The 21,481-nt window shown below is 38.8% G+C and overlaps 1 protein-coding gene across 6 annotated transcripts, besides 3 other annotated features; it reads right to left on the bottom strand.

Moving 5' to 3' along the window:
* Positions 1-2,944: 2,944 nt before the first annotated feature.
* Positions 2,945-21,073, bottom strand: TMEM263 (transmembrane protein 263). Of its 6 annotated transcripts, none has more exons than NM_001319664.2 (5): positions 20,915-21,073; positions 19,831-19,898; positions 17,595-17,710; positions 9,800-9,869; positions 2,945-5,875 (listed from the first exon to the last, which is right to left on the bottom strand). In NM_001319664.2, exons 4-5 carry the CDS (start codon positions 9,861-9,863, stop codon positions 5,589-5,591), a joined length of 351 nt encoding a protein of 116 aa, NP_001306593.1. In that variant the 5' UTR covers positions 9,864-9,869; positions 17,595-17,710; positions 19,831-19,898; positions 20,915-21,073; the 3' UTR covers positions 2,945-5,588. The 6 variants fall into 6 exon arrangements, with proteins under 6 accessions (NP_001306593.1, NP_001306592.1, NP_001306595.1 ...); NM_001319663.2 differs by having other exon boundaries at positions 17,595-17,692; NM_001319666.2 differs by lacking the exon at positions 17,595-17,710 and adding an exon at positions 9,579-9,697.
* Positions 20,126-20,185: an enhancer, noted in NCBI's record as "active region_6950". NCBI's record gives its function as "activates an Ori minimal core promoter by ATAC-STARR-seq in GM12878 lymphoblastoid cells {active_cell/tissue: GM12878}" and the evidence as "EXISTENCE:reporter gene assay evidence [ECO:0000049][PMID:35858748]".
* Positions 20,686-21,445: a silencer, noted in NCBI's record as "silent region_4819". NCBI's record gives its function as "represses an Ori minimal core promoter by ATAC-STARR-seq in GM12878 lymphoblastoid cells {active_cell/tissue: GM12878}" and the evidence as "EXISTENCE:reporter gene assay evidence [ECO:0000049][PMID:35858748]".
* Positions 21,115-21,409: an enhancer, noted in NCBI's record as "tiled region #9924; HepG2 Activating DNase matched - State 1:Tss, and K562 Activating DNase unmatched - State 1:Tss". NCBI's record gives its function as "activates a minimal TATA promoter and a strong SV40 promoter by Sharpr-MPRA in HepG2 and K562 cells {active_cell/tissue: HepG2 | K562}" and the evidence as "EXISTENCE:reporter gene assay evidence [ECO:0000049][PMID:27701403]".

The following is a 21,481-nucleotide window of genomic DNA, read 5'->3' as shown; positions in this document are numbered from 1 at the left end:
GTTTGCTTAGAATTGACCATTATTATAACTCTTATAAAACACCATGTGCATTCATTACTTTCCTCATTTTACACATGAGGAAACTGAAGCTGAGAGGCCACTCAGCTGCCAAATGGCAGAGTCTGGGTTTATTAACTGGGCTCTGACTTCTGTTTAAACCTTGTGAACTGGAAGGATTACTTATGAATTGGCATAAGAGAAGTCACCCCTACCTGACAGGCCAAAAGGAATAAGTACTAACAACAAATTCGGGGACATTTATGAAAACCTCTCTATAAAGTGTTCTAATTCAAAATTATCTAATTTATATACATTTGAAATAAATGGAGCTTTTTAGAAAACTTTCTGAAGATCCAGGTCTGCCTGTAAGGGAAAGTGGGTGATGGTTAGTACTAATTTTAGGGGTGGTGTTTCAAGTTTCCATTTCTGAACCTTGTTCCAAGATAAACATACCCAGATAAAGAACTGACTCACTTTCAGCTGTGAAGTCTGAACTTTGTAACAAATGCACAGCCAAACAATTGACTGACAACATCTGTGCACTATTTGTACATGGCTTAAGTATAATGAAAAAATTATGGAAAATGCAGGCAGTATCCTCACTCTTCACTCCTTCAGCAAATGCAAGTAACCCTTACTATCCAAATCTGTTCACTTCCTATAGGGAGCTCTGTATATAAGTGCTTTACGATTCTAAAGTACCATTGTTCACTCTTCTATGGATGAGGAGACTCAGGGTAAGTCACTTACCCAAGGTCATGCAGGAAGGTTTGTTCAAGAAGAATAGCAGCCAGTACAGTTGGAGCAGGGTTGAGTGATTGGGAGAGTGGCACAAGAGGAAAGAGGCAGCACAGGTCCATCTAAGGAGCAGAATCTCATTTGAAGTGTGATAGGAAACGCTTGGAGTTTTCAGTTTATGCTTCTTGTCCTGACAAAGTATCAGGGGCGCTCTTGCTCTTTCACTCTGAAGTGTCTCAGTTGGGAAGACATTATATGTGATATGGTTACCTTGGTAGTTAGATGTCAATTTTGAGATGCCTACTAGACATCCTAGCAGGGATGTCAAACAGGCAAATGGCTAAGTCTGGAGTTGAGTTTCAGTCAGAACTGAAAATACATATTTGGGGATCATCTGCATATCTATGATATTTAAAGCCATGGCTCTAGATTAGACTGCCTGGGGGAAAAAAAGTGCAGATTTGGAGTAGGGTGGTTGGCCAAGCCTGGAAAAAGACTGGTCAAAGCAAGAAGTTGGTCCCAGGAAGAAACAAGGACATGGCCAATAATAATGAAGCCACTGAGGGGGTCGACTAAGACACAGAGAAGTGACTAATGGGTTTAGCAAAAAGGAAATAATTGGCTCACACTATAGAGTGATTCTGGGCCAGGCACTGTGGCTCACGCCTGAAATCCCAACACTTTGGGAAGCCAAGCAGGAGAATCACTTGAGGCCAGGAGTTTGAGACCAGCCTGAGCAACATAGTGAGATCCTGTCTCTATAAAAATGTTTAAAAATTTTTTTTAAATCAGCCTGGTGTGGTGGCACACACCTCTAGTCCTAGCTACTTGGGAGGGTGAACGGGGAGGATGGCTTGGGCCCAGAAGATCAAGGCTGCAGTGAGCTATGTTCATACGACTGTGCTGCAGCCTGGGCGACAGCAAGACCATGTCTCGGGGGCGGGGGTGGCGGTGAGTCATTTTGAGGAGGGTGAAAGCGAACATACAATAAAAGGGCATATTAGAAAGTCTGACCATGTGTACTTTGTGGCCATTAATTTAAAAGGAGACTAGTCAATACGCAGCAAAATTTAAGTGCTCAGATCTAGCCACAGAGAACCAGAAGTAGTTACAGTTATAGAAATACAATTGTAGCTTACTCTAACTTGAAAAGATTACATTCTTAATCAATTATGCAGTATACTGACTTTATTTTCCCTTAGGGTCCATTCCATTGCTTTTGGCTCTTGAACCTCTGAAATTGTTCTGCTTTGCCTTTTTTTTCCATTCATACATTCTAACTCAGATCTTCCTATGAAACAGAATTTTAAAAATTCAAAATCAGTAACATAGCAGGGGGAGATACCCTTTCATAAAACACTAGAGTCAAATTCGGTTTCCTCTGTGAAAAAAGGCTCTTTAACAAAATTAGATTTTCTTCAATTTGTGTAAAATCACACTAAATTCATTGCTGTAGCAAAATGTGGTCACCAAAGTAAATATGGTCACGTGAAAGACTTCCGGTAAGCTGCAAGTCAGACAGCCTGGTCAATCAAGCATACAGGCTGCACTGAATGTCAACACTAGAATAAAGGCCTAGTTACTGAGTAGCCCCATTTCTGTTCCTGGACATAAACTGGAGAAGTTGTGACCTACACTAATTCAAAAGTGATATGGAAAATTCAACTAACATTGAAAGTTAGCCTGTTCTGTATTTGTAAGAGAGTAATGATACTTCCTTCATAAGGCCCTCATGCTGATTAAATGAGAAGTATGGCCAGTACCTGGCAGGTAAGCAGATGCCCAGTAAATATCAATTTTCTACACTCCTCCCCACCCCTTTTAGTCAGTCATTTCTTTCCAGTGAGATGTCTCAGTTGGTTCCACAGCTACTTGGAACAGACAGAAGTGCTCCCTGCTTTATAATCCATCAGTTTTCAAACTTTGTTTGAAAGTACTCTTGTTGTACTCAAGAATTACCCAGAGAGGTTGTTAAAATGCAGTCCTGGGCCCCACCTTGCAGAGATTTGGCAAGTTGGGGTAAAACCTAGAAATCTACACTCTTAATCTTTATTATTAGAGTTGCTTAAAATATATTTGTATTTCATGGTTGTGTCAGCATCAAAATACATATCCAAAGATATGTTTGTACATTACTATAAAAAAAATTTTAAACTGGCTACAGCACTTTCTGAACTGCAAAGTAACTAAAAATGGTAAGATCACCCTGTTTTAAAGTTTCCTTTATTTCTTTAGATCTTTATGAAACATTCCATCGTTTGCAGATCATAGTGCTTTATTAACAAATTCATGTGTTCTTTTCCCATCCCTTTAATACAAAAAAATTATTCATCAGTTATTTTCATCTGACATTTCACTAAGTACAGAATGCATAATGTCAACATTATTAGATCAGCCATTCAAGTGGGTCACATAAGTTTATCCTCATTGTGCCAAATACCCACTCAAAGGATAAGCTGAATAACAGATGCCTCCAGGTGTATACAACAACCTTAGTTTCTTGACTTGAACTAGTCCTGTTTAACAGGTCAAACTGCTAGTCTTTCTAAGTAAACTAAAAAAGACTCAAGTACACAGCTGTACATACATATCATCAGATGGTAAGTTCATTTCAACAAGAACCTCTATAACTAACTGTACATTTGTACAGTTTTCTGCTATCATTGCAAAAGCCCCTCTGAACAAACTTATAGTTTAGAATTTAAAACAATCCTGATGAGACAAAACGTACCAGGTGGCTTTTCTGTAGCAGAAATTAATTACAACCATTTTTCCTCAAGCAATTTTAAAGACAAACAAAGTTGAAAATAAATATGCAAGCATACAGTAAACAAAATGTCTATACTGAGAAATTCAGACACAAAGCACAGTGGAGTCTATAACTGTAGAAGTTAGAAATACAAACTAGCAATGAAGCAACAATCTCTTCCAAATAGCAGGAAACAAGTTCTCCAATACCATTATTTAGATAATTATTTAGTGATTTTGGAGTTTTTTTTTTAATCCCGTTTGCTGATTATGACATTTGACCAGAATCTCAAGAAATACCTTAAATCATACTGCATGAAATAAATGACCATTTAATTCCTGATTAGTTGAACTCCTTAATGACTTTTCAGTTTTGTATATAATAGAAAGGTTCAAGAACCTTTGTAGATTTGCTTACAATTGCTGCTGGTATTTATGAAAGCTTTTAAAAGTTATGTTATATTCTTCTGCATCTGTTGATTCCACATTAATGTAATTCTCAAGTATTTTATAAACAAGCCTTGGGTGTTAGAATGGTCTGTTTCAAATTTTCAGGCATGCTATTTCGACTTACTTACTGCAAGGTATCACCCCCCTTTCCTCCCCTCCACTATAAAAAAAAAAAAAAAAAAAGGTGGCAGAATGGAGACAAATTTCCAGATTTAAGTAAAAAGAAATTTAAGATTTTCCCAGGCTTGGATTACAATCCTTGGTGGACAGGAATGCCAAGTATATATGCCAATTGTTAAACGTTTTATGAAATTAAACATGAAACGAAAAGAAAATGAATTCCAGCTAAATCATATTAAGAAGGAACGAGACATGAGACATATTAATAAGATATGACACATTTATCATCCATAATCAAACAATTCAAATCCCTGACTGAAATTGGCTTGAAAAATGATACAAACTCTATGGCTGCTTTAAAGGACTGTAAGATAACATGTTTTTAAAGCCTATATAAACCACTGATGCACTTTTATATACTTTATATTCAAAACTAATCTATGGAGCTCATTCCATTCCATTTAAAATAGTAAGTCCTCACATATTTGTGGTTACTTTTACAGTGTTTTTAAAAAAGGAGTACTGCTAATAATTTAAGACATCCTAAAGACAGAATAGGTGTGAAGGCTTCTTTTTATATTTGGGGTGTTTTAGGTAATTTTTAAGAACTTAAAATTATTATTTGTTCCTCCTTAATATGAAACTCTTCCAAAATACCTTCTGACCAGTAAGTAAATGTTCCTTAGGCACTGTGAGGTGTATTAATGATGAAGCATGAACCCAGGCTGAGAAGTGTACAATTTGATTTTAACTACTGCCAAAACAGTTAACAAGCTCTGTCTTATCCACTGACAGCAGGAAATGTCTTTACCCCACTACTCCTGAGATTCTAAAAAGGGAAAACTAATTTCACAAACAACCTTTAAAAGAATCCATAGATGATTCTAAGAACAGCACATATTCAGGGTATTAGAAAAGATGTTTTCTTTTGTAAGGCATCAATGATTAAAATAATAGAACGCATATTTACTAACAAAAGATGGTTAACATTATCATAAAACCATTTATCTTTTTAAACTTCTCTAATTCCTGCTAATTTTGCCAGCTTAAATAAGAAATGAATGCCTCTTGGCCTAATCAACTATGGTTATAAAAAACTAAGACATCTGAAACTATTAGGCACATCAAAGGTACGGCTTATGTAATTCAAGGTTCCCTTCTTAAGGGGCAGGTGAGTTACCTGGCACATTATACATATGGAACTGTGAAGATCATCTACTAAATTCAACTTTCACATTTTTAGTCAAACTGAAAGACTTATAGTAAATATTCAAACATACCATATCTTCAGTTACAACCGAGTAAGTGTAACATTTTACCAGATAAAAACCTGGAACTTAAGTATGAGAAACCTTCATATACTGTGCTCGTATTGGTCTCTTCTTTTTAGATGAAAGCCAGTCATCAATACTTTCAACACAGCAGTTTAGAAGATAAACGTCCAAAACAGTTGACTTGGTTGTAGTCCATAATTTAGCAATTCAATGCCACTGGCATTACAGTGCTGTGGAGCGCAAGTGTATCTCTATATTTCAGTCAGATTTGTCTTTCTTCTTTCCTGTTAAGGGCACTTTGTTTACAACAGCAGACCCAACAGCTGTAACACCTCCAGCCACAGCAGAGACACCCCCTTTCACCAGCCCTATTCCCATGGAAGGCACAGTTGTAACAGCTGTTTTGGTCACTTCCAGACTCTTTCCACCAATCCAAGCCACACCACCAATGGTGGCACCAACAGCTCCCTTTGTAACACTGAAGATACCCCCAGTCACACGGGACAACATGCCTGGCTGCTGCTGTGGGTGATCTTTCATTGAACCTAATGAGAGAAAATATCATGAGACAATCAAATATAAGTCACAAGTCTTTAAAAGAGCAGTACACATCATTAAGTAACCTAAGACTTCCTCACAACAGGAGGTTGATTTGATAAGGCCAACCACACTGATTCAAAGACACTGAAGAGCTCTTCCTTCAGGGTATAGTTGTACATGTTTTTACAATATCTTGGTCCAATGCTAAGTCTTAGTATCTATGAGAAGAAATGCTTTAGAGACTAGACAACTTTTGTAAAACAGAATCCTATTTTAAATGTTTCCTTGGTTTACGGTTTTGTTAACAAATAACCTTTATTTTACATCCTAAAAGGAACATGAAAAAATAAAAAGATAACTACATTTGGCCTTCATTTCCTTGATAGGATTTAATCAGTCATTACCGAAACAATCTTCTTCGTAAAATGCAGTAGTTTTCAAGGTATGGTCTGGGACCACTACAGATGCCGAAGACCATTTCAGGGGGTCTACAAGGTAAAAACTATTTTCATAATATTATTAAAATATCATTTGTCTTTTCACTTTCTGTCATGAGTCTATAGCAGTTTTCCAGAAGCAGAATGATGTATAATACAACAGACTGAATGCAGAAGCAGCTGCAAGAATGTAGCTGTCTTGCATTAATCCAAACATTAAAGAGATTTGCTAAAATGTATAAACCAGTATCACCTTGCTCACAATTTCCACAATTTTTTTTGTTTTGAAAGAATTACTATTCATAAAAATATTTTAATTATGTTAATATGGGTTCTTTTAATGCATAAAATATTCAAATTTCTCAGTTTTTATTGCTAATATGGTAAATATTGACAAAGACACAGCTCTTTGGGGCCTCAATTTTTGACATTGTAAAGGCATCCTGAAACCAAAAAGTTTAAGAACCCCTATTAAGTAAATACATTTGGGTCTCTGCTCTATGTCTCCCTTACTGACGTATTTAAAGAGCTAATACTATGTAAAAGTAAAAAACTATTCATCATTTAAAATCGTGTTATCTACCTAAAAAATCATTTTTATTCAGACATAAGTAGGATAGAGAAACTATAGATATGGTTAACACTTAAAATTACTGCCTCAGTAATTCTTATGAAAGAGAGTGTGTGCTTTAAGTATCTAGTTTTTAAAAACTAGAGATATCCCCCATAAAAGGCAATAGCAATATGAAAAATTAAGCTCTAAGTCATGAGTTTATTTTCTTTGTTTTTTTTTTTTAAATAGAGCCACATATATTAGCATGTAAGCTCAAACTTAGGAATAAAATGACTAGCAGAAAGATTTCATAAAAATTTGCACTAGCTTAAAATGAACACAGTGAACACAGGTCTTTTCTCTTTAGTAATCTAATATTTTTTTTTTTTTTTTTGAGACAGAGTCTTGCTCTGTCACCCAGGCTGGAGTGCAGTGGCGTGATCTTGGCTCACTGCAAGCTCCGCCTCCTGGGTTCACGCCATTTTCCTGCCTCAGCCTCCTGAGTAGCTGGGATTACAGGTGCCCACCACCACACCCGGCTAATTTTTTGTATTTTTAGTAGAGACAGGGTTTCACCGTGTTAGTCAGGATGGTCTCAATCTCCTGACCTCGTGATCAACCCACCTCGGCCTCCCAAAGTGCTGGGATTACAGGCGTGAGCCACTGCGCCCGGCCTAGTAACCTAATAATTTAAGCAGCAACAACACATAAGCATTAGTGTTTTTCTAAACTTCATGGAAAAATATTTGGTACTTACACAATTCAAGCTTTACTTCTGAAAAAGAGGGGTAAATTACTGGGTACGTAAGTCCAACTAAGAGCACCAAAACTATTAGATTCTAGCAGAATCAAGTTCTCAGAGAAGGTATCATGGGGAAACTGACAATATTTGATGGAGAAAATAAAAAATTCTGAAAACTGAGCTTTCCAATGCACAAGGCACAAATTTACCTTGAGATAATTTTTCTTTTCATTGTCTGAAGATTTTACATTTTATCACAAGTGGGAAAATCTCACTGACTAGTCAAAATATCTTTGCAAAATAGTGCATAAATACAGATACAGCAATAGCTATAAACTTTAAAAACCAAATATTTTTATTAAAACTACTTAATAAGTATAGTTAATACAAATTTTTAATGACTGAAGTAAAAGACTTAATATATAGATGGGCATTTGAATATATTAGTTATAAAATTATGATGGAAAGGATTACATAATTGGTAATTCTGTAATCGAGGTCACTAGCCCTAAGAAAAAAGGCAAAATCCTGATTTGAGGCTACAACAGATAACTGCCTCATGCCAAATATCTCATTAGTAAAACTATCTTGCCATGCCAAATTTGGTACACATGCATTTAAAGAAGACAAATAATTGTTCTTAATCAAGTCAGATAAATAATTAATGCAGCTGATCTCTTTTATTACAGTATACTCTTAATTATCACCATATAAATTATCTGCTTTGCAGATTCCTCTTGTTTAGTGGTTGGCATAGAAAGACATTCTGCTTTGTTCTCTTCCTTGACAATCATGCCCCTGGATGGCCTTTATTTATCCCTTTTCTGATTTCTTTCTCACAAAGTCCTTGTTAACTTTCTCACTGAGCCCTAACTTTTCAAAACTCCATGGTTCCAGACCTAAAAATGTAAGGCATGGAAAAGACCTGAGTTAGTAATTTTCCAGGCTATTCCTCCACCAAACTAAACTAAACCTAATCAGCTAGTTCTTTTTTTTTTTTTTGAGACGGAGTCTCACTCTGTCGCCCAGGCTGAAGTTCAGTGGCACGATCTTAGCTCACTGCAATCTCCGATAGTTCTTTTGAATTCTTTATGGCTTAAGTGTAAACCCTTTGTTGCTATTTTCCTAGCAATTTCATTTTTGCCTACCAATAAAAGAAATATAGGAAGAAAATTTTAGACAATGGGTAACAGAACTAGGAAAAAATATATAATACCTAGAGTCACAACCTCCAGCCCTAGTAATCAACATGCAATTCTCCAAGGAGATCACTATTTGGATTAAGTTTAGTAACAGTCTATACCAAAAACATGCCTCTAGTCATTTTCTGTATGTACTCAGGACATTCAGGTGTGTTTCCAAGGGTTTCTGAAGAATTAAAATGATTCATGATAACACAATTTTCAAACTCAAAGAGAATTATGACTTAAAAAGACAAATGAAGCAGATCCCAAGATCATGTGTTAATAGAGGAGAGGTACCAATTACAATATAATGAATAATAGGAGTTTAACAACAGATCTCTAATGCCTCTTGCATTAGGCTGATTTTGTATGCAGGATATCAAAACTAAACACAGTCCATCCTTCCTCTGTATCCATCCTCACCCTTTACAAATGAAAGGATACTTATACTTCTAAAATGGTCTTAAAAGAAGAATGACAGCAAAATATTATGCCTTATATGGTAAAATTGTGTCCCTATTCACCACTATCTATGCTTTCTTATTAGAAGCTAAAAATGTTATCTTCAATTATTTTGGGGACATATTTACTGACAAGGTAAACAGGTTATATTTCTTTAATAAAAACAATCAGGGCTGGGAGTGGTGGCTCACGCCTATAATCCCAGCACTTTGGGAGGCCGAGGCAGGTGGATCAACTAAGGTCAGGAGTTCAAGACCACCCTGGCCAGCATGATGAAACCCCTGTCTCTACTAAAAATACAAAAAATTAGCCAGGTGTGGTGGCAGGTACCTGTAATCCCAGCTACTTGGGAGGCTGAGGCAGGAGAACTGCTTGAACCCAGGAAGCGGAGGTTGCAGTGGGCCAAGATCGTGCCATTGCACTCCAGCCTGGGTTGACAGAGTAAGACTCTGTCTCAAAAAAAAATAAAATAAAATAAGTAAAAAATAAAAACTATCAGAACTTTAATTCAGTATATTTTTCCATTCTTAGTGTTACAGATGCATACTTACCTTCTGGTGGTTCATCATTAAGGTATGATGGGATTTCTTGTTGATTTTTATCTGTCTGATTCATGATCTCCTAAAAAAAAAACATACAAACACATTTCATTTTAACCTCAACATGTGAGACTACCTCTTATCACATGCTAAATTGCGATTTCATCAACATTATTCAGATAAACAACATTTTGTACCCACTATACAACTAGTCTTCATCTTGTTTCTCTCCTACTTCAAACTGCGGCATTTAATAAATACTTTAAATTATACCAGTAGACAATATAAATCTTATGTGAAACACTCACCAAAGAGTGGCAGTCATAGTATAAGTTTTCCTATGTTGTTACTGTGGTGCTTCAACTACAACTGAAAATTACTCACTGAAAGAGAGCTGGAAGGTGGGGGTTAGCCGACAAAAATGTTGTTTCCTCCTACAGAATACTGGTTAATTTAATTGTAATTTATTTCACAATAGACTTAAAGAAAAAAGTATACCAGAACTAAAAAAGGTGTTCCCTAGACAGAATGGTTATTATTAAAAAGTCAAAATATAACAGATGCTGGCAAAGCTGCAGAAAAAAGAATGCTTATACACTGCTAATGGGAATGTTAATTAGTTCAGCCACTGTGGAAAACAGTTTGGAGATTTCTCAAAAGAACTCACAACTACCATTCAACCCAGCAATCCCATTTCTAGATATAACTCAAAGGAATATAAATCATTCTACCACACACGTGTTATGTTCATCACAGTACTATTCACAATAACAAAGACATGGAATCAACCTAGATGCCCATCAACAGTGGACTGGATAAAGAAAATGTGGTGCATATACATCATGGAACACTATGTAACCATAAAAAAGAATGAGATCATGTCCTTTGCAGCAACACAGGTGGAGCTGGGGGCCATGATCCTAAGTGAGCTAACACTGGAACAGAAAACCAAATACCGCATTTTCTCACTTATGAATGAGAGCTAAACACTGAGTATACATGGACACAAAGAAGGTAACAAGAGACACCAGGGCCTGCTTGTAGGTGGTGAGTGGAAAGAGAGTAAGGGTCAAAAAACTATCTATTGAGTACTATGCTTATTACCTGGGTGATGAAATCATCTGTACACCCAACCCCCACAACACACGATTTTACCCACGTAATGAATCTGCACATGTACTCCTGACCCTAAAATTTGAAAAAGTTAATAAATAAATACTAAGGTGTTCTATCTGAGAAAGTCCTTAAAAAAAAGACATCCCTCTCTTGTAATGATGACACCACCAATCTGAATCAGTAACAGATCAATTTTGATGACTTTTTGCTGTTCTTAAAGCTCTTATGAACAGAGGCAGTTAACAGAATTCAAAATTTACTATAAAATATATATATATGTATATATCAATACAGATGGAAAAAATCTCTGCCATCATGAAATGGATACTCCAATGGGGAAAGGCAATAAATAAATACAAAATAAATACAAAGAGAGGACTATATGTCAGTGGTATTTATATGCTATGGAGAAAAAGGGATGGATGAGAGGGTGTGATACTTTATTTTTGTGTGATTTTTTTTTTTTTTTTTGAGACAGAGTCTCACTCTGTCGCCCAGGCTGGAGTGCAGTGGTGCGATCTCAGCTCACTGCAACTCTGCCTCCCAGGTTCAAGTAATTCTTCTGCTTCAGCCTCCCGAGTAGCTGGGACTACAGTCGTGCATCACCATGCCTGGCTAATTTTTGTATTTTTAGTAGAGATGGGGTTTCACCATGTTGGCCAGGCTGGTCTTGAACTCCTGACCTCAGATGATCCGCCTACCTCGGCCTCCCAAAGTGCTGGGATTACAGGCATAAGCCACTGCGCCCGGCCAAGGATGGATGGGGAGAGGATATGATATTTTAGATAGGATAGTCTGTGAAGGCTTTACTGCGATGACACTCAAAGAAGGTAAGGATACAAGATATTTAGGTGAAGAGTCTTTGCGGAAGAAGAAATGGCAAGAGCAAAGGCCCTGATGTGGGAGCTTACCTGGATCAGCAAGAAGGAACAGCCAGTAAAGTGTGGCAGGGTCGCATCAAGGGCAGTAGGAGAGGAAGACAAAGAGTGAGGTCTGGATCAACATAGGCCCTTGAAGGTGATGATGGAGAGTGGCTTTTAACTGAGTGAGATGGGAAACTAGTAAAAGGCACTGGACAAAAGAGTAAGGTGATCTTTTAAAAGATCATTCTGGCTGCTGTAGGGAATACAAGCAATAGGTGAACAACAGCAGAGGCAGAAAGTCCCATTAGGAAACAACTTCAATAATCTAGGCCAAAAAATGTTGGTGGCTTGGATGAGGGTGGTAGAGGCAGAGGTTGCGAGAAATGGGAATTTTCAAAGGTGATTTTAACTTCATGGAATTCATCTTCTTATGACTTTAAAACGTAAATCCTACTTAAGATGACACTTCTCTGCACCCCTACTGAGTCCAGCAGCACATGTGTTTAATAAATAGCTTTCAATTGCTCTAGTGAAAATCCTGACTCAGGTCATTTATCAATGGCACCTAATCTTATCCTGGTTTGGTTTGAGAATTTAGCACATCATCCCAAACATAAGATTTAAAAAGTAATAGTAAAGCTAAGTAATCTCTCACAGAAAAACTAGTAAGAATTTCAGCTGATGCATTACTGGGAAAGGAGGTTCTTGATGGATGTGCCCTAATTTTAAAACTCCCCAACCACAAAGGTTCATTTATTACCATTCACATTTATGTTTTCTTTGATTTATCATCATGGTAAGATCATAACAAATTATACAGGATGGTGGTTAAGGCTTTGGGGTCAGAGTGCCTGAGTTTGAATCTCAGCTTGACCATAAACTGTATAGAAGAGGACAAATAACTTCATTAAATACTTGCTGTTTAGGATAGTTAAAATAAAAATCAAAGACAATTCTAGCCTTAACCCTAAGATGAGAATGCTATTTAACAAATTCCAAAATAAAACATGCAGAAATTCCTGGTAGAATATGTGTGTCCCTTCTGAGAAATGATGATTTTGAAGCCACTTACTTCCCTGCTGGACAATTAATTTCAAGAGGACAGACACCTTTGTCCAATTTGTTCATCATGGTAATCTCAGTACTATATATTAATACCATACACATAGACACAAATCCAGGAGATCACTTGGCTGGGCAATCAACAGAAGGTACCATACCCTATAGAGAAATATGGGAAATTACATATACCCATACATCTTACATATTTTAACTGGAGTTTAAAAATAGGTGTGATTATGACTGTAACCGCATATATTTCAAAACTGACTTTCTGGTGCCTACCCCATAAATCCCTACCAACAGTCTTACCTTTTATTTCTAATACAGTATCCCTTAAAAACAATTATTTTTCTATATCCTATCTTGTAATTAAGAAAAAGACAATTTTTAAAAATTAGTTCTGCTTTATGAGAGCATAAGATAGATGCAGTTTAATCTAAATAATATGAATTGACTTCATCCTTCTGTGGATAAGCATTAAGAACCCATGAGCAGAGTTATACTGTCATATCTGTGCCTTAAGACGCTAACTGAAGCAAGAAGAGATGGAAGGACAGAGAGATTAATACAGTAAGTGGCTACTTTAGTAGTCCAGTAAGATAGAATTTTCTGACAGTCTAAACTCTGCCAGATTTTCATGTCTAAATAAATGCTTTGGACAAAATGCCAGGGTCACCTTTGAATTCTGCTTTTTTTTACATTCCCATCTAATTATCGGTAAATTCTGTTGCCTAAATAAATCCAGAATATAACCACTTCTCATTACCTCTACTGTTACCACTTTAAGCCATCATAATCTCTTACTTGTACTACTGCAAAATCTCTGAATGGGTCTCCGAGCTTCCACCTTTGTTCTTCTTTCAGTCCAGTCGTGTCATACTCTGTTTAATATCCTCCAACTGCTTCCTATTTTGCTTAGAATAAAATTCAGAGTCCTTATACCTTTGCCTTTGAGGCCAAATACTTAACCGCCATCTCCACTATTCTACCTCTTGTTCATTCCAGTCTAGTAACACAGAGTTCCTTGTTTATCCTTTCCTCGAAGCCTTTTCCCCAGTATATGTACATGGCTCAGGTCCTTCTGCAAATGTCCCCTTATCAGAAGATGTCCCCTGACCACCTTATAATAGATGAGCACCCTCCACTCTTCTTATCATTTTCACCTAATCTGTTTACTTTGGGTCTCTCCCAATTAAAATGTAAGCTCCATGAGAACAAACGCTTGGTTTGTTCACTACTCTATCACCAGAGACTTAATCAATGATGCATGGTTGACACTCATATACTTGAATTTTTTGTCAGAAGTAGAATGTAACTTTGAGATGAAAGGGAGAATCTAATGTCATATTTCTAGTATAAGACAGAGATGATGAACACAGAGAATATCAGAAGAGAAACCTTTTGAGAGAAGATGAAGGACTTGTTTCTGAACAAGCTGTATTTGAAATGCCTTCAGGGCATCCACACTTGTTCAGCAGGCAATTGGATTTAAGGGGCCAGAAATTCAGCATAAAGTTGGAGTTAGAGTTGAGGTTCTAAGAGCGGTTTGAAGTGATAGCTGAAGCTCTGAGCAGTGGGTGATATGATCAAGGAAAAGAGTGATGAGAAGCCGACTGACAGCCTTAATTGGCCAGCTCATATTTAAGAGGTGAGCAAAAGAGAAGCCAGCAAAAACAAACAAAACACATCTGAAAATGAACAAATGAGTACAGCCTCATGGAACGCAAGAGAGGAATTTATAGGCTTCCAAAAGACATACATTATGCAGATGTGAAAATAATTTATGATCAAATACTACAGAAATATGCTAATGCTATATTTAGAGACTGTAAAAGGCATATATCATCATGCCCAATTTTTTAAAAAATGCATACAAAAAGACTGGAAGAAAGTATGCCGAAGTATTAATAAAGATTGCCAGGGGGCGGGGGGGGTTAGAAATACATAAGTTTTACATTTTACATACACATGCATGAAGTAGTATACATAGCATTTATATATTCACAGTATAATATAGTATTTGTATATAGTATTTTTATACCTACACATAGAAATATGCATAGTTAATTAACATCTATAAATTTTCTACCATAAAAATGTATTGCTTTTATAATTAAAGAAAAATACATATTTTCAAGTCTTGGAAATCAGTAATATTCATAAATATTTTTAAAGATTATGTAGTTCATCTAATCCTAATTATTCTAAGTTTTAGCCACAGATGAAGTTAATAATCTAAAAAACAACATACTTGAATCACATGATGCTTTAAGAAAATGGTATCACTGAGTTTTGTTCACAGTTATGTCTTGGGTAAGGAAATCCTGACAAACAGCCTTATGCAGGTTATTACTATATTAACTGTACAATACTGTTAAAGACATTACCCACTACAACACTTAATAGCTCTGATACGGAACTCCACATAAGAAATTTCTTCAGAGGTAACTATTTAGAAAATGTCTTGTTTCCCCCAAATATTTAGCCTGTTTTCTTAAAGATATAGGCATTTTTATATTTAAAAGATACAAAGGTATGATGTCTTCCTTCTCTTTGGCTTCCTGGAAGCTTAAAGCTAAAATCCCAGCTCAACTAGGTAGGCTCCTGTGGCCTGCACAGTTGTGTCCTATCTTCCTCCACACTTCCACACCTCCTCAAGATTGCTACTTGGATTGCTATTTCTCCCTGGTTTGCAATTTGAGTATCTTATTTACATATTTTTACCAATTTGTTGGTACATGTTTTTGTTGTAAGCTGCCAGATAGTATTTGTGGGATAAGTAGAATAAAAAGAAAATATTGTAATCCCAGCACTTTGGGAGGTTGAGGTTAGAGGACTGCTTGAGCTAAGGAAGTCAAGACCAGGAAAACATAATGAGACTCCGTCTCCACAAAAAAAAAAAAAAAAAAAAAAAAAAAAAAAAAAAATTGACTGGGCACGGTGGTGCACGCCTGTAGTCCCACATATTTGGAAGGATGAAGAGGAAGAACTGCTTAAGCCCAGGAGTTTAAAGCAGCTGCAGTGAGCCATGATCATGCCATTGCACTCCAGCCTCAGCCATAGAGCGAGACCCTGTCTCAAACGATAGGACAGGACAGGACAGGACAGGACAGGACGAAGAGAAGAGAGGAGAAAAGAAGCGAAGCGAAGAGAAGTATCCGCATATACTTTAAGCATCACAAGAAGAAATACCTACCAATATATGGCCCAAATTTGGGGTTTAAAAAAAAGAAAACTCTAAGCTAGAGACATGCTTTCCAAATGTACCTTTTTAAACATAGGCAGTGGTGTGCCTAGGACTTAAGAATACACAGGAGAGACATAATGCCTGCATTTAATCTAGAGTAATTTAAAATACTGTTTTATTTTTAAATTCACACACAGTAAAAAGTGAAATGAAAAGTGCTTTGAGCATTGTGTTTTTTTTAAAAGATAACTAGACTTTCAAGAGATTTCACTCTCGCCTGGGGCTGCTTCCGGGTATATTCTCAGACTTACCAGCTCTCCCTGCCAGTCCAACCACACTCCCACTCCCACGCCCACCATGAGTTCATTCTGGCCTAAAATTAGGAGTATTTCTGTAGAGGAGTGTGAAATGTAAAAAGCTAGATATTATTATATAGAAATATTCAATTGCATTTAAAATTTATTAGCAGTAGTTACCAATAGGATTATCAATAAACAAGAAAGCAGCAACTCTGGAGTCCTGCCATGCCAGGCATATCCTAGACTAGAGGAATTCACTATTTAGAAAGACTTGAAAGTCCTAAGTGCCACAAAGATTAGTTTCATTGGGACTAAAAAAAAAAAAAACAAGGGCCGGACATGGTGGCTCACACCTGTAATCCCACCACTTTGGGAGGCCAAGGCAGGTGGATCACCTGAGGTCAGGAGTTCGAGACCAGTCTGGCCAACATGGTGAAACCCCATCTCTACTAAAAATACAAAAATTAGCCGGGCATGGTGGCGCATGCCTGTAATCCTAGCTACTCAGGAGGCTGAGGCAGGAGAATTGCTTGAACCCAGGAGGCAGAGGTTGCAGTGAACCAAGATCTCACCACTGCACTCCAGCCTGGGTGACAGGGCAGAACTCCATCTCAAAAAAAAAAGATTAGTTTTGTTTTGATGTTTGGGCATCTTGTACATCACACCTTAATAGCCAGTATGTTGTATCAAAATTCCTCTAGAACTCTTAGAGTAATAAAAATTATTACTAATTTTTAATTAATTAAAAAGCCACAAGTATTTGAGATTTTTTTTCCTGAATTCCTAATTTGATCATAAGACACTGAGTTACCTTATAAAGGTATTTGCTAAAATCCTTAACTGTGTCATCTGTACTTTTCATTCACATAAACCATTCCAAAGTCCTGCACACAAATATGTGCCTAACTTTTAGTGATATTACCTCTTTATGGATATTGCCACTTCGTTACTAAAGAGAAATACTTCTTATATTACTATCCTGCTTATTATCACCATTGCAGGAGACCTGTTTCTCTTATAGTAGGAACTGTGAAGATAAATAGACCCCAATCTAAAACTCTGAAAGGTAAATAATCTACTAATAAAATTTTAGAGTATATATGTAGAGACAAGTATCAACTGACAGTAAAAATTTCAAAATGGGCCTGTAATCCCAGCACTTTGAAAGGCTGAGGCAGGCAGATGACCTGAGGTCAGGAGTTCCAGACCAGCCTGGCCAACATGCTGAAACCCCATCTCTACTAAAAATAGAAAAATCAGCAGGGTGTGGTGGCGGGTACCTGTAATCCCAGCTACCAGGGAGGCTGAGGCAGGAAAATCTCTTGAACCTGGGAGACGGATGTTGCAGTGAGTGGAGATCAAGCCACTGCACTCCAGCCTGGGCGACAGAGCAAGACTCCATATCAAAAAAGAAAAAATTCAAAATGACCATTTTTAAATGTTACCCTTAAGTAATACATTAAAATTATTAAATTCTATACAAACTATCTGCCCTGAACTCACTGAATCATTAATTCAACATATACTTGAGCCCTACTATGCGACAGGCACCCTGTTACACAATTAGGAGTTCAGTGTGATTAAGCACACACAGGCACTACTCTAAACCAGAGTTTACAATCCAGTGGGAATAGACTTTTCCGGCACTTGCCATTTAGTGAATCATTCAAGAAACAAATTATATATTCAAGAAACAAATATATCTGCTCTCTAGGACCTCATAATGCACAAGTTTCTATTAAAAACATACTTTCTGGCTGGGCATGTTGGCTCATGCCTGTAATCCCAGCACTTTGAAAGGTCGAGGCAGGAGGATCGCTTGAGCCCTGGGGTTTGAGAGCAGCCTGGGCAACACAGCAAGACCTCATCTCTACCAAAAAAACAAAACAACACATACTTTTCTAAGGAAAGTAGTAATGACAGACAATAGCTTTAGATAAGTACAAATGATTTAACTTATTCTACAGACATAAATCAGTTCTACCTTTTGGTCCTGAAGTGTGAATAAACTATTACAATACCAACTAAACTGGTTATAAGTGGGTTTTTAAGAAATTGTGACATATGAAAGGCTTCTTTGTTGTAGACTGTATATCACGACTACAAATTCATCAGCAGTTACATTAAGCATTGTAGAGATGGGGAGAAATAATTCTTGCCCAGTACAATAGTATCACATAGATTTAGCAGCTGGCAAATACACTGAGCAAGGATTAACAACACAATTCCCTAAAGGGTAATTTATTCCAATAATAGAAATAAGTAAACAAACACCTCTTGGGAAACGTGTTTTCTTTGATGAATCAATCTTGTTTGTGGGTTTCAGTAATATTTCATATATAAAATTTTTATTCATAATAAAAAATTCCAAAAACAGTACATAAATTTTCCTCTGGGTACCACCCCTCTATACACCAAAGGAAGTTAAATAACACTAACACGTTATATAAAGCTTAACTACAAAATACAGTGCACAAGTTTATTGTCAAAGCCACTTAAAACCACCTGTTATTCAACAGTAGGTGCCAATTTCCCTATAATAGAAAAAGACGACTATAAATGAATTAGCTAAATTCTTCTACATATTCTACCTAAAAGAACTTTACCACATCCTCACTCCCATGTTTTAGCTTTTTTGCCAAATAACTGCAAAGAGATTCAAAAATATATGTATACAGAGCTTTACAACATATACACCAACAAGCAGAGTACATTAAAACTCCAGCTTACTGTTTTTATGTTTTTCTAGTTAAACCAACTATCAAGAAGAGTCTGCTTTTAAAGATGGCCCCTGCCCATTAAATCAACAGCAAATAGGCTACAAGAAATGCTCTCAATCTAGCAAGGAAGAAAAGGTCATCTGCCAGTAAAACTTGTAAGTGCCCACTTAGACGAGTAATAACTGACAGTGTCAAAATGGCAATTTTTAAGGGTTATCCTTAAATGAAACATTAAGCAGAATTACAATACTCTATTAAACCAGAGAACCAGTAAACCATCTTCACATTATTTCAACAGATATTTGCATTCCTACTATGTGTCAAACATTCTATTAGGCACTGAGGCATCCTTGTGAACAAGCATACAAAGGTCTTATTCTCAAGATGTTTATATATAATCCAGTGAGATATCTTCCGGAAATAGAAAAAGAGCAAATACCGAATAACTGAAACAAAGGTAAAGATTTTCCTGTAGTTAAAAAAAAAAAAATCAAACCCATGCACACACAAAGAAATCTGTATATTTGTCCAATGTAGCAACCGTTATAATTTCTAACGATGCTTTCTATAAATGGACAAATTTTTACTGAACTTGGTTTCTGGTACATCTGTTCTAACAAAGACTAAAGAAATGAAAGTGGAAAAAGCAAAACAGGATGCATATGGGTTTATCAAAGGCTACTTCTCCCTTTCTTTTTAAAAAGTTAAGCATGGGCGCGAGCGCGCACACACATACACACACACACACACACACACACACACACACACACACACACACACGGGCGCGCGCGTTTACCTGTTGGTGTTGTATCGATATTCCTGGGGAACCCCTGAGGGCACTCACACCAGCAGAAGTTTCAAAGGCTAAACAATAGCATACAGCAAATAATCACATATAGCAAATATTTTCATTTGGAATTAGCACAGTGTTCACAAGGACGCAAAAATCAAATTAAGAACCCTTCCCTTTTCTCTAGGTGTTTCTAAACCCTTCCGGGTGGCCCCTTCTCTCCCTACTGATCCCTTTAGGCACTAGCAAATCTTTTTTTTTTCTTTAGCAGTGAGTGACGTGGCAGGAGGCAGAAAATGACCCTGGAGGCGCCGTGGCTAGCACTGAGCTTGGCACCTCCTCCCTCCGCTCCACGTTGTACACCCAGCACTCCCCCCACTCCCGAAGGGCTCCAGAATTTCTATGTAAGAAGGGTTTAGGACAGGCGATCTGATTGGAAGTGGGAGCTGGGGGGTCGGTCTTGAAGCTGCGTGTGCAGAGCAGGCAGTTTTTATTTAGACTGGGAGGCAGTGACGGCACGGATGGGTGCTCCAGCCCTCCCTGTCACCCCTGGGCGCGGCCAGCACCCTCTCCATTCCCACTTTTACTTTAGGTTAGGCGTGGAGATACAGCCTTCCTACCCAGGAAGAGCTATGGGGGTGTCCACTGGGAAAAAGTCTTGTGTGCCTGAACCCAAAAGGGAGGTTTAGCAACAGGTCAGGAGTTGGCAGGGCGAGGAAGCCCGGTACCCAAGCCCCTCCGCTGCATCCCTCTCCCAGGCTGCTGATGCCCCTCACCTTCCTCCTCCGCCCCCAACCCCGAACCCCCAGATGCTAAGAAGTCAGGCGGAGGCTTTCCAGGGGTGCGCAAGCTCCAATCGCGGCGGGGCAGTCAGCGACGTATAAGGAGGAGTAGCCCCAGAAGCGAACCTCCATCCGCCCCCAACTTCGTCCCGCCCCTCCCCCTTTCCCGCTGGGGCCTCGCCAAGGCCCCGCTGGGCAGCCAGGCCGGGCACTGGGAGGTGAGGGGCAGGGGCGCCGACGGCAGAGGGCGACGGAGGAGGGCAGGAAGCCGGGACTGCGCCCCTGCCCTCGCATCCCGACTCACTCACCGCCGGGGTCGCGGCCAGCGCTAGGGCTGGGGCCGGGCGGAGTGAGCGGGCCGGCGCAGAGGAGAGCTGAGGCGGCCTGGGCGGCAGCGGCGGCCGGCACAACCCCGGGCAGTCGCGGCTCCAGAGGCGTCCTCTCAGGATGTGGAGCTGGAAGACTGTGGCGGCGGTGGTGGAGGCGGAGGCCTCTGGCTGCGGACGTGGCGCCCGACGCGACCCGCCCCCTCCGCCGCCTCCTCAGCTCCCGCCTCCTCCCGCGGCTCCAGTTCCGACGCGCACGCGCGCTCGTGCAGCCCGGGCCCCTCCCGCGCCCACCGGGCACACGCCCACCCGTTCTCGCAGGGTCCGGCCCTCCCAGCAGTCCCCAGCCGGCTGTGTCCCAATTGCGCACGCGCGACGCTCCGAGGCCCGCTCCCGCCCCTTCGCCCCCTGGACGCCTCCGTGGGAACCCCCGGCCGGCCTGCGCGCCCCTCCTCCGGGGGTCTCCCCGCCTTCTTCCCGCCACCATCCAATCAAATCGGGCGAGGGGCGCGAAGCCCGGGAGACGCGTAGGCCGCGGCCCCCAGGCCC

This window comes from Homo sapiens, chromosome 12 (genome assembly GCF_000001405.40).
Source record: "Homo sapiens chromosome 12, GRCh38.p14 Primary Assembly".
NCBI classification, from domain to species: domain Eukaryota; kingdom Metazoa; phylum Chordata; class Mammalia; order Primates; family Hominidae; genus Homo; species Homo sapiens.
Note: the sequence above shows the minus strand (reverse complement) of the source record. Positions and strands in the feature narration are given on the sequence as shown.